A 12666-nucleotide genomic window follows, 5' to 3' on the forward strand; every position below is an offset into this window, starting at 1 on the left:
GTGGTTATATGCTTTCAATTCTCTTCAGTAAAAACTTAGGTGTGTAATTCCTGGGTCATATATTAAGCATATGCTTATCTTTGTAAAAAAAACTGTCTCATTGTTTTTCAAATTGGTTGTAGCATTTTTCTTTCCCCCCAGCTGTGTATAAGAGTTCCGGTTGCTCCATATTCTTGCCAACACTTGGTATGGTCATTCTTTATTAATAATTTAGCCATTTCAACTGGTGTGTAGTAGTATGCCATTGTGTTTTAAATTTCTGCAATGAATAATGACATTGGGCATAATTTCATGTACATTTTTCCATTGGCATGTTTTCCTTGGGGAAATATTTATTCTAATCTTTTGCACATTTAACGAAATTGAGCTGTTTGCCTTCTTATTATTAGGATTTAAGAACTCTGTATTCTAGATTTCGGTTCTTTATTGAATACATGATTTTTAAACATTTTCCCCCAGTCTGTGGTTTGACTTTTCATTTTCTCAACAATGTCTTTCAAAAAGAACAAAAGACTTTAATTTAGATGAAATCTAATTTATAAATTTTTCATTTATGATTTGTGATGTTTATATCCTAAGGAATCTTTGCTTAACTCAAGGTCACAAAAAATTCTCTAATGTTTTCTTCTAGAATTTTTGTAGTTTTAGGTTTTATGTTTGTGTCTATGATCCACTTTGAGTTAACTTTTTAGTGTGGTTTTGAGTCAATTTTGAAACTTTACTCTTCTCATCACATCCCTTCCCTCTGCTGATTCTATCATCTGCTTCATTTACTTCTTGGATCAGTCTCTTTCTCTGATTATGCAACTTCCAGGTGACAGATACTTTATAAATATATCGCTGAAAGGTTGCTGTAGATGGTTTCTGCAAGTGATCAAATTATTCTCCCTTCAAAAAGTTCATTGTAACTGGGAGAGTGACTACAGCAAGATGGTGGAATGGGAATTTCCAATGCTCTTCCTCTCACAGAAACATCAATCTGAACAACCATTCACATATAAAAATACCTTCACAAGAGCTAAGGAATTCAGGACAGTGGTTACAGCAGATGGGTGGAACACAGAAATAAGAAAAGATACATTGAAGAGGTAGAAAGGACAGTTTTACATTACTCATGTAATTCCTCCCCCAACCCAAGCCCATACAGTGTGGACTGACATGCCCTCCATTCGGGGAAGGAGAGTAAAATAATATCCAGCTTTTCTACACACTATCTTAATCTTACCAGGTCTGCCCCAGAGAACCCTAGTGCCAGGCTGAAACCTGTGGCCCCAGGCTCCAGGCCCACCCCAATTCCCAGCCAGTCCCCACAACTCCAGGCTCTAGACAGCCCCCACAGACCCAGGTTCCAGGACATCTCCAACAACCCAGGTGCCAGGCTGGCCTCTGTGGATCCAGGCACCAGGCCCACCTGCCCATTGACCCATGCACCAAGCCACAGTCCAAGGATTCCAGCAGCATGTGCCTATGGGTGGACCCTGCATTTGATTTGCTTGTATTTTGTAGATGGAATCTCTGAATTGAATGATTGGTGAAGGGCTTTCCTTATTGAAGTCTGTCTGCAAAGACTAGAAGAGGTGCCTACTTCTTAAAATGCACAGACACCAATGCAAGCCCACAAGAATCTCAAATAAGCAGAGAAACATGATACTACAAAAATAATGGAATAAAGCACAAATACCCAACTCAAAAGAAATGAAGATCTATAAACTGCCTGACAAGTAATTTAAAGTAATCATTTTAGAGAAGCTCAGTGAGCTGTAAGAGAACACAGACAAATGACTAAAGAGACTAAGGAAAACAACACATGAACAAAATGAAAAATTCAAAGATATTGAAACCATAATCAAGACTCTAACAAAAATTCTGAAGAACACAGTGATCTAGAAGAAATGAATACATTCCTAGAAACATACAACCTACAAAGACCTAATCATGAAGAAATAGAAAATCTGAACAAACCAATAATGAGTATGGAAATTGAATCTGTATCCAAAAACCTCCCAACAAAGAAAAACCCAGGACCTGATAGCTTCACTAATTAATTCTAATAAATATTTAAAGAAGGAATAATGCCAATGCTTCTCAAATTCTTCCAAAAAGTTGAAGAAGAGGAAGCACTTTCAAACTCATTTTATCAGGCCAGCATTACCCTGATACCAAAGCTAGAGGAGAACACTACAAGCTAAAAAATTTACAGGTCCATATTCCTGATGAACATTAGAACAAAAATCCTCAACAAAATACTAGCAAATCAAATGCAATAGCACATTGAAAGGATCATACACCATGATCATATGCAATTTATCCCTGAGATGCAAGGATAGTTCAACAAGTTGAAATCAATAAATGTAATGTACCACATTGCCAGGAGGAGGATAAAAAACATGATAATCTTAACAGATGCAGAAAAAGCATGATTTGACAAAACTCAACATGTTTTCATGATTAAAAAAAACTCTCAACAAATTAGGTATAGAAGAAATATACATTATTCCTTCTATATACTCAGCATTATGAAGGCCATATATGAAAAGCCCACTACTAACAGTATACTCAATGGTAAAAGCTGAAACCTGAAAGCTTTTCCTATAAGACCAGGGGCAAGACAAAGATGCTTACTCTTGCACTTCTATTTAGCATAGCACTGGAAGTCCTAGACTGAGCAATTAGGCAACATAGAGAAATAAAGGCATCCAAATTGGAAAGAAAGAAGTAAAATTGTCTCTGTCTGCAGATGACATGATCTTAAATATAGAAAACTCTAAAGACTCCATCTGAAAACTCTTAGAACTGATAAATGAATTCAGTTAAGTTGCAGGGTACAGAATCAACATACAAAAATTGTCTGTGGTTTTATTCACTAAAAACAAACTATTTGAAAAAGAAATTAAGAAAAATCTATTTACAATAGCATCAAAAATAATAAAATACATAGGAATAAAATTTTTCCAAAGAGGTAAAAGATCTGTATACTGAAAACTATAAAATGCTGATGAAAGAAATTAAAGAAAGACACAAGTAAATGGAAAGATATTTTATGTTCATGGATTGGCAGAATTAATATATAAAATGTTCATACTACTCCAAATCATCTACAGATTGAATGCAATCTTATCAAAATTCCAATGGCATTTTCCACAGAAATAGAAAAACAATTCTGAAATTCATACAGAACCACAAAAGACCCCAAATAGCCTAAGCGATTTTGAGCAAGAAGAACAAAACTGGAGGAGTGACACAGCCTGATCTCAAACGGTACTAAAAAGCTACAGTAACAAAACAGTATAATACTGACATAAAAGCAGATATAAAGGCCAATGCAACAGAATAGAGACTCCAGAAATAAATCCACACACTTATTGTCAATTGATTGTTGACAAATTTACCAAGAATGCACAATGGGGAAATGATAGTCTCTTCAACAAATGCAGTTGAAACACTGGATATTCACATGCAGAAGAATGAAATTAAACCCTTATCTCACACCACATACAAAAAATAACTCCAAATGAATTAAAGACTTAAACATAAGATCTGAAGCTTTAAAACTACTAGAAGAAAACATAGGGGAAAATCTTTATTACATTGGTCTTGGCAATGCTTATTTGGTTATTACCCCAAAAGCACAGCTAACAAAAGCAAAAATAGACAAATGAAATTACATCCAAATAAAAACTTCTGCACAGAAAAGAAAACAATCAATAGAGTGAAGAATAGAATGGGAGAAAATAATTGCAAACCACATATCTGATAAGAGGTAAACATTCAAAACGTATAAGAAACTCAACTCAATAGGAAGAAAACAAGTAACTTTATAAAAAATAGGCAAATGAACTGGATATAGAATTCTCAAAAACAGGCATACGAATGGCTAACAAGTGCAAGACAGTCCCAGCTTGCAATGGTTCAACTTTTGATTTTTCAACTTTATGATGGTACAAAAGCAATACACATTCAGTAGAGACTGTACTTAGAATTTTGAATTTTGATGTGAAATTCTTTATAATAACTTTATTATAAAATAAGCTTTGTGTTAAATAATTTTGCCCAACTGAAGGCTAACGTCAGTGTTCTGATCACATTTAAGGTAGACGAAGCTAAGCTATGATGTCTGGCAGATTACATGTATTAAAAGCATTTTCAAGTCACAATATTTTCAACTTACGACGAATTTATCGGAAGAGAATTCCATTATAAGTCGAGGAGGCCCTGTATATGATAAAAATTCTTCACATCACTAATCGTCAGGAAACTGCAAATCAAAACCATAATGAGATTTTATGTCATCTGTTAAAATGGCTATTCTCAAAAAGACAAAAGACAACAAGTATGGACTAGGATGTAGAGAAAAGGGAACCCTTGTACACTCTTGGTAAGATTTTATATTGATACAATTATTATGGAAAACAATACAGAGGTTCCTTAAAAATTAAAAATAAAACTAACATAGAATTCAGCAACCTTAGGTGCTACTTGTGAAAGCTGAAGCTTTGAGAATTCCGTGCAGCCTTATCCCCTTGATCTTGTTCAGAATCTTTTGTCCCTCAGTGGAAGACTAAACTGAAAAAAGTGGGAATGCCCTTTATACAGGCATGGAAGTTTTGCAATATAGGCCAGGCATACCTTTCTTATCATAAGTAAAAAGAGAGAGAATGTCCTCCCTGAGTCAGTGAGAAGGAATCTACATCCTAGCACACAGCGTGGTGCCCTTACAAGATATTCAGTTTTATAATCTGCGTTCTGACATAAGGAGGAGTTCATGAATCCATAGTGGGTGTCCCATCTTTTGGGGAAAGTGGTACTAACTGTACTCCTGTCCCAACTTTGGTTGCTACAGCTCAGGCAGTTTCTCTTGGTGAGGTGAGAGCCATGATCACAGCCACAGTGAGCTGCAGTAAGAGAAGAAGCAATCACTTAGAAGATGGCAGGGAGCAGCTCGCTCACCTAGAGGGACTTCTCAACAGCTTACCCATGGAGAGGATTATGCCTAGTGTCAACAAAACAAACTGAGCAAACACTGGATTTGAGAAATGTGAAATGGGTGGTTTACTTAGTGCAAGATTGTTTTCTGAAGCAAACTGAGAACAGGTCTGTATTTCTTTTTAAGCCCACCATACCTCTCAGAACTGGGAGAACTGTGATGAAGTACTTGTTTCATGTACTTTGCAACAATTTTCTATCACTGGATTCTCAAACCTTAATGAATCTGCTTGGACCGACAAATAAAAATGTAAAGCAGGTAAGAAGATTTTGTTGAAACAAAATAAGAAAACCAGATTTAATCTGCAGAACCATAAATTTACATATAGCTTTCTAGGACACTATCATATCGAATGAAAATACGTGGAGCAACCTCAACAGATCTTATATTTTTTTAAGAAAGACACTCGAATGCAGGAATCATGTTCTCAGCTTCTCCTCTGACCATCACTCCCAAGCACTTTGAAAGTTCAATAAATATTACTAATCTCCCTTGAGGTATACTGATCATAAGCATAGATTGTTACCGAATCCAGAGAAAATGGAGATTGACTATTCCTAAACTTCAGTATTCATACATTGCTATTTTTCTGTCTCTCCATTGGAATTATTTACATTCAGGTAATTCTATCTGAAAATAATGGATGCTCCTAAAACATGATACTAATACAAATTCCCTTCCAAGGAAACTGAACTCCAGCCTGTGCAGCTGAGTGAAGAAGAAATTCTTGCCATTTGAATGATTAGGAACTAATATTCTTCACCTAACTGGACCTTAGCCAATATAATTATTTAGGGCAAGATTGTATCCCTTCTTTCACATTGGTTTTATTGTGAGCCAAGGGGAAAAAAACATTATTCTAAACTCTTCAGCACTTTCCCTTTTAAAATAGTGAGACCATGTCAGAGTGAAAATAGCATGAATTAATAAAAGTTATACAGACAATAACACCAGATTTGTATAGACATATATAAAAATAATCACCACCCCAAAAAACAGTATCAATCAGAGAGGTTAACATTAATATATTTGAATGTTGAGATTTAGCAAACCATGGATCTATGGAATTAAAGCCATATAGCATCTCCAGAAGTTGTTTCATTTTATTGTTCCAAGTTAGGCTGCAAAAAGACAGAGGGATTAATTAAGTCCTATATTGGACAAGACTAGAACATGAATTAAAAGGCTCCTAACTGTAAATCCACGAGGAGCACTTACCAGCTGAAGGTCACGCTGCTGGTCACACAGCTTCGTTACTCACTTTAAACTGTAACCTAACTAGACGGTGGTGAGTCAGGTTTGTTTCCTTTCCCTTCTCCTCTGGCATCCCTGGGGGGCTTCTCAATTCAAAGAAACTCCAGGAGAAACAGGCCACTTACTGTGAATAATCTGAAACAATCTATAAGTTCAAAAGCAGTTGAAATTCCTAGAAGAGATTGAATGTTATAAGAAGAAACGGGTTAGTATTTTAAAGACAAAACTGCCCTTGTTTAATATCAAGAGAGTATTAGCGGGACACAGGTTTTACTGTAACTTTCATTATTTATTTAACTGTCTATATTCACTCTACACTTCAGGAAATGGAACCCATGCATTCACAGTCCAAGTAAATTTTAAAACAGTCTTTTTTCTTTCTTTTATGTCTTTCTTTTTTCTTTTTTTCGAAGGTAACAATAGCAGCGTCTGTACGTGGTAGTTTTCTACTTATGCCACAAATAGGCCAAATACACAGTATGCTTTCTTAGAACACCTAGACAAATTCAGTCTATTTCTCCAGGAGGGCAAGATGATGTGTATTAAGACACATTTCTTTAATGCCAATGCAGGAAATTTGTAAGGTATCAGAAATAAGAAGAGTGTTATACATGATGGCTGTAGGGAAAGAAAAAGGAATTGTTTTTTGCACCAGACTATTATAACTTAAATATTTTGTTTCAAATATATCATCTCTTAAAAAATTGTGATAACACCCTGCTGAGCCTCAAATCTACTTCCAGTTGTAGAGACAGACAATTGCATGTTTGGAACTTCTTTCAAAAAACTTTGGCTTCCAGGAACACCATGAAAATTTTACCCCCACAGGAATTAACATCTTTGAAAACATATCATCATTGAAAGAGAGAAAGGAGAGAAAATGTCACATTCTATATTTATTTTAAAATTTGTATAATGAAAATACTGTTTCTCAAGACAACACATGGAACTCAAAAAAAGTTACATGCAAGTAGAAGCCAAATCAGAGAAATATGTCAAATTTAATTCATCTCAATTCTAATATATATTGAGCTCTTTACTTTGTAAAAAGCAATGTTAGTGGAAAGGCAAGTAAAATACAATAGCTTCTCTCAAAGAGTTTATAATCTCATTGAAGTATATAAATGCTAATAATAAATCAAAATGCTAATTTTACAGAAATGTAAAAAAGTATTTAAGAATGTAAAGGAGAGATTTTTCCATCTAATTGGGTGTATCAGAAAAAGCTCTAAAGACTGAGCAGTAATTTACAGGATACATGGGATTTCAACATGCAAAAATAACAAACGGGGCCTGGATCAGGGGAGAATGAGCAAGTGACCAATGGGAAAAATTCTGTTTAGAAACAGGGCGGAGTCAGTCTAGTTTGGTTGCCAGAGGATAGAGAGATTAAGCGTGGAGAAATAACTGTAAAGGTATTTGGGACCAAATCTGGCTTTGAACATCTTTTCACAGAGTTTGGCCTACCTCAGTGGGTCATCTAGAGCCTGTGTTTGAGGCAATCTCATGGAAAGCCATTATCTCCTGTGCATAGAATATTCCAGACTGGGTATGGAGGCATCCAGTTTGGGGGCTGTTAGAAGAGCCTTGGAGTAAGATAAAAAATGGCATGAAATAGGGTGATGATGATAAAATAGGTGGGTCTAAATGATCTTGTGTAGGTAACATTGGTAAAAGTTTGCAGCTAGTAGACATGGGAGGCAAGAATAAAGGAGAGGTTTAGCAAGCAGTTGTGAAAGTGAGTCTGGAGCCTGGGGAGAAGGGTAAAGCGAATCAGGTAAAACTTTCTCCATATAAAACATATGTTTTCTTTAGGAATCTTGTTTTCCATCTGAATATTCCATCAGAGGTTATTATATAGCAGCATGAAGCAACCTGAATGCTGCACAACATGGGTTTTTTAATGAATCTTCTCGTGATTGGTAGTCTATTGATAGTATAGATTGACTTCATACATGAAGCTTTTATCAAAATTATGGATTTGGCTTTGTAACTTTACCACAAGGTCATGGAAAGAAATTGTAATTTTTCCTTTTTACCTTCATGTCATTGTGAGCGTGATTATTTTAGGATATATGACAAAAATAGCTTATTTTAACAACTATTAACTTGAAACACTCCCAGATGCGCTCTGTCTTAAGATACAGTGTGAGATCTAAAATGCAAATCTCATGTTTTTTTTTCTTTTCTTTTCTTTTTTATTATACTTTAAGTTCTAGGGTACACGTGCACAACGTCCAGGTTTGTTACATAGGTATGCATGTGTCATGTTGGTTTGCAGCACCCATCAACTCGTCATTTACATTAGCTATTGCTCCTAATGCTATCCATCCCCCAGCCTCCCACTCCCCGACAGGCATGGGTGTGTGATGTTCCCCACCCTGTGTCCATGTGTTCTCATTGTTCGGTTCCCACCTATGAGTGAGAACATGCCGTGTTTGGTTTTCTGTCCTTGTGATAGTTCGCTGAGAATGATGGTTTCCAGCTTCATCCATGTCCCTGCAAAGGACATGAACTCATCCTTTTTTATGGCTGCATAGTATTCCAGGGTGTATATGTGCCACATTTTCTTAATCCAGTCTAACATTGATGGGCATTTGGGTTGGTTCCAAGTCTTTGCTATTGTGAATAGTGCTGCAGTAAACATACGTGTGCATGTGTCTTTATAGTAGAATGATTTATAATCCTTTGGGTATATACCCAGTAATGAGATCGCTGCATCAAATGGTATTTCTAGTTTAGATCCTTGCGGAATCACCACACTGTCTTCCACAATGGTTAAACTAATTTATGCTCCCACCAACAGGGTGAAAGCATTCCTATTTCTCCACATCCTCTCCAGCATCTGTTGTTTCCTGACTTTTTAATGATCGCCATTCTAACTGGCATGAGATGGTATCTCATTGTGGTTTTGATTTGCATTTCTCTGATGACCAGTGATGATGAGCATTTTTGCATGTGTCTGTTGGCTGAATAAATGTCTTCTTTTGCGAAGTGTCTGTTCATATCCTTTGCCCACTTTTTGATGGGGTTGTTTTTTTTCTTGTAAATTTATTTAAGTTCTTTGTAGATTCTGGATATTAGTCCTTTGTCAGATGGGTATACTGCAAAAATTTTCTCCCATTCTGTAGGTTACCTGTTCACGCTGATGATAGTTTCTTTTGCTGTGCAGAAGCTCTTTGGTTTAATTAGATCCCATTTGTCAATTTTGGCTTTTGTTGCCATTACTTTTGGTGTTTTAGACATGAATTCTTTGCCCAGGCCTATGTCCTCAATGGTATTGCCTAGGTTTTTTTCTAGGGTTTTTATGGTTTTAAGTCTTATATTTAAGTCTTTAATCCATCTTGAGTTAATTTTTGTATAAGGGGTAAGGAAGGGATCCAGTTTCAGCTTTCTATATATGGCTAGTCAGTTTTCCCAGCACCACTTATTTATTGAATAGGGAATCCTTTCCCCATTTCTTGTTTTTGTCAGGTTTGTCAAAGATCAGATGGTTGTAGATGTGTGGCGTTATTTCTGAGGGCTCTGTTCTGTTCCATTGGTCTATATGTCTGTTTTGGTACCAGTACCATGCTGTTTTGGTTACTGTAGCCTTGTAGTATAGTTTGAAGTCAGGTAGCATGATGCCTCCAGCTTTGTTCTTTTTGCTTAGGATTGTCTTGGCTATACAGGCTCTTTTTTGGTTCCATATGACCTTTTAAGTAGTTTTTTCCAATTCTGTAAAGAAAGTCATTGGTAGCTTGATGGGGATGGCATTGAATCTACAAATTACCTTGGGCAATATGGCCATTTTCACGATATTGATTCTTTCTATCCGTGAGCATGGAATGTTCCTCCATTTGTTTGTGTCCTCTTTTATTTCGTTGAGCAGTGGTTTGTAGTTCTCCTTGAAGAGGTCATTCACATCCCTTGTAAGTGGGATTCCTAGGTATTTTATTCTCTTTGTAGCAATTGTGAATGGGAGTTCACTCATGATTTGGCTCTCTATTTGTCTGTTATTGGTGTATAGGAATGCTTGTGATTTTTGCACATTTATTTTCTGTCCTGAGACTTTGCTGAAGTTGCTTATCAGCTTTAGGAGATTTTGGGCTGAGACGATGGGGTTTTCTAAATACACAATCATGTCATCTGCAAAGAGGGACAATTTGACTTCCTCTTTTCCTAATTGAATACCCTTTATTTCTCTCTCTTGTCTGGTTGCCCTAGCCAGAACTTTCAACACTATGTTGAATAGGAGTGGTGAGAGAGGGCGTCCTTGTCTTGTGCCAGTTTTCAAAGGGAATGCTTCCAGTTTTTGTCCATTCAGTATGATATTGGCTGTGGGTTTGTCATAAATAGCTCTTATTATTTTGAGATATGTTCCATCAATACCTAATTTATTGAGAGTTTTTAGCATGAAGCGCTGTTGAATTTTGTCAAAGGCCTTTTCTGCATGTATTGAGATAATCATGTGGTTTTTGTCATTGGTTCTGTTTTTGTGATGGGTCACGTTTATTGATCTGCGTATATTGAACCAGCCTAGCCTCCCAGGGATGAAGCCGACTTGATCATGGTGGATAAGTTTTTGATGTGCTGCTAGATTTGGTTTGTCAGTATTTTATTGAGGATTTTCGCATCGATGTTCATCAGGGATATTGGTCTAAAATTCTCTTTTTTGTTGTGTCTCTGCCAGGCTTTGGTGTCAGGATGATGCTGGCCTCATAAAATGAGTTAGGGAGGATTCCCTCTTTTCTATTGATTGGAATAATTTCAGAAGGAATGGTACCAGCTCCTCTTTGTACCTCTAGTAGAATTTGGCTGTGAATTTGTCCAGTCCCGGACTTTTTTTGGTTGGTAGGCTATTAATTATTGCCTCAATTTCAGAACCTGTTATTGGTCTATTCAGAGATTCAACTTCTTCCTGGTTTAGTCTTGGGAGGGTGTATGTGTCTGGGAATTTATCCATTTCTTCTAGATTTTCTAGTTTATTTGCTGAGAGGTGTTTATAGCAACCTCTGAAGGTAGTTTGTATTTCTGTGGGATCAGTGGTGATATCCCCTTTATCATTTTTTATCGTATCTATTCGATTCTTCTCTCTTTTCTTATTAGTCTTGCTAGCAGTCTATTTTGTTGATCTTTTCAAAAAACCAGCTCCTAGATTCATTGATTTTTTGAAGGGATTTTTATGTCTCTATCTCCTTCAGTTCTGCTCTGATCTCAGTTGTTTCTTGCCTTTTGCTAGCTTTTAAATGTGTTTGCTCTTGCTTCTCTAGTTCTTTAAATTGTGATGTTAGGGTGTCGATTTTAGATCTTTCCTGCTTTCTCTTGTGGGCATTTAGTGCTATAAATTTCCCTCTACACACTGCTTTGAATATGTCCCAGAGATTCTGGTATGTTGTGTCTTTTTTCTCATTGGTTTCAAAGAACATCTTTATTTCTGCCTTCATTTTGTTATTTACCCATAGTCATTCAGGGGCAGGTTGTTCAGTTTCCATGTAGTTGTGCAGTTTTGAGTGAGTTTCTTAATCCTGAGTTCTAATTTGATTACACTGTGATCTGAGAGACAATTTATTGTGATTTCTGTTCTTTTACATTTGCTGAGGAGTGTTTTACTTCCACTTATGTGGTCAATTTTAGAATAAGTGTGATGTCGTGCTGAAAAGAATGTATATTCTGTTGATTTGTGGTGGAGAGTTCTGTAGAGGTCTATTAGGTCTGCTTGGTGCAGAGCTGAGTTCAGGTCCTGGATATCCTTGTTAACCTTCTGTCTCATTGATCTGTCTTATATTGGCAGTGTGGTGTTAAAGTCTCCCATTATTATTATGTGGGAGTCTAAGTCTCTTTGTAGGTCTCTAAGGACTTGCTTTATGAATCTGGGTGCTCCTGTACACGTGAGATGGGTCTCCTGAATACAGCACACTGATGGGTCTTGACTCTTTATCCAATTTCCCATTCTGTGTCTTTTAACTGGAGCATTTAGCCCATTTACATTTAAGGTTAATATTGTTACATGTGAATTTGATCCTGGCATTATGATGTTAGCTGGTTATTTTGCCCATTAATTGATGCAGTTTCTTCATGGCCTTTACTTCAATGGTCTTTACAATTTGGGATGTTTTTGCAGTGGCTGGTACTGGATGTTCCTTTCCTTGTTTAGTGCTTCCTTCAGGAGCTCTTGTAAGGCAGACCTGGTGGTAACAAAATCTCTCAGCATTTGCTTGTCTGTAAAGGATTTTATTTCTCCTTCGCTTACAAAGCTTAGTTTGGCTGGATATGAAATTCCGGGTTGAAAATTCTTTTCTTTAAGAATGTTGAATATTGGCTCCCACTCTCTTCTGGCTTGTAGGGTTTCTGCTGAGAGAACTGCTGTTAGTCTGATGGGCTTCCCTTTGTGGGTAACCCGACCTTTCTCTCTGGCTGCCCTTAACATTTTTTCCTTCATTTCAACC

General features: G+C 36.6%; 1 long non-coding RNA gene across 1 annotated transcript in view; it reads right to left on the minus strand.

Annotated features, from left to right (window-relative positions):
* Positions 1-3956: 3956 nt before the first annotated feature.
* Positions 3957-12666, minus strand: part of LOC105369698 (uncharacterized) — a 90315-nt gene continuing 81605 nt past the window's right edge. The window contains exons 2-3 of the long non-coding RNA XR_001749046.2: positions 6203-6410; positions 3957-6105 (exon numbers count right to left, since the gene is read on the minus strand). This is a non-coding gene — a long non-coding RNA (uncharacterized LOC105369698). The remainder of the gene's footprint in view (positions 6106-6202; positions 6411-12666) is intronic.

Source organism: Homo sapiens, chromosome 12, assembly GCF_000001405.40.
Source record: "Homo sapiens chromosome 12, GRCh38.p14 Primary Assembly".
In the NCBI taxonomy this organism is placed as follows: domain Eukaryota; kingdom Metazoa; phylum Chordata; class Mammalia; order Primates; family Hominidae; genus Homo; species Homo sapiens.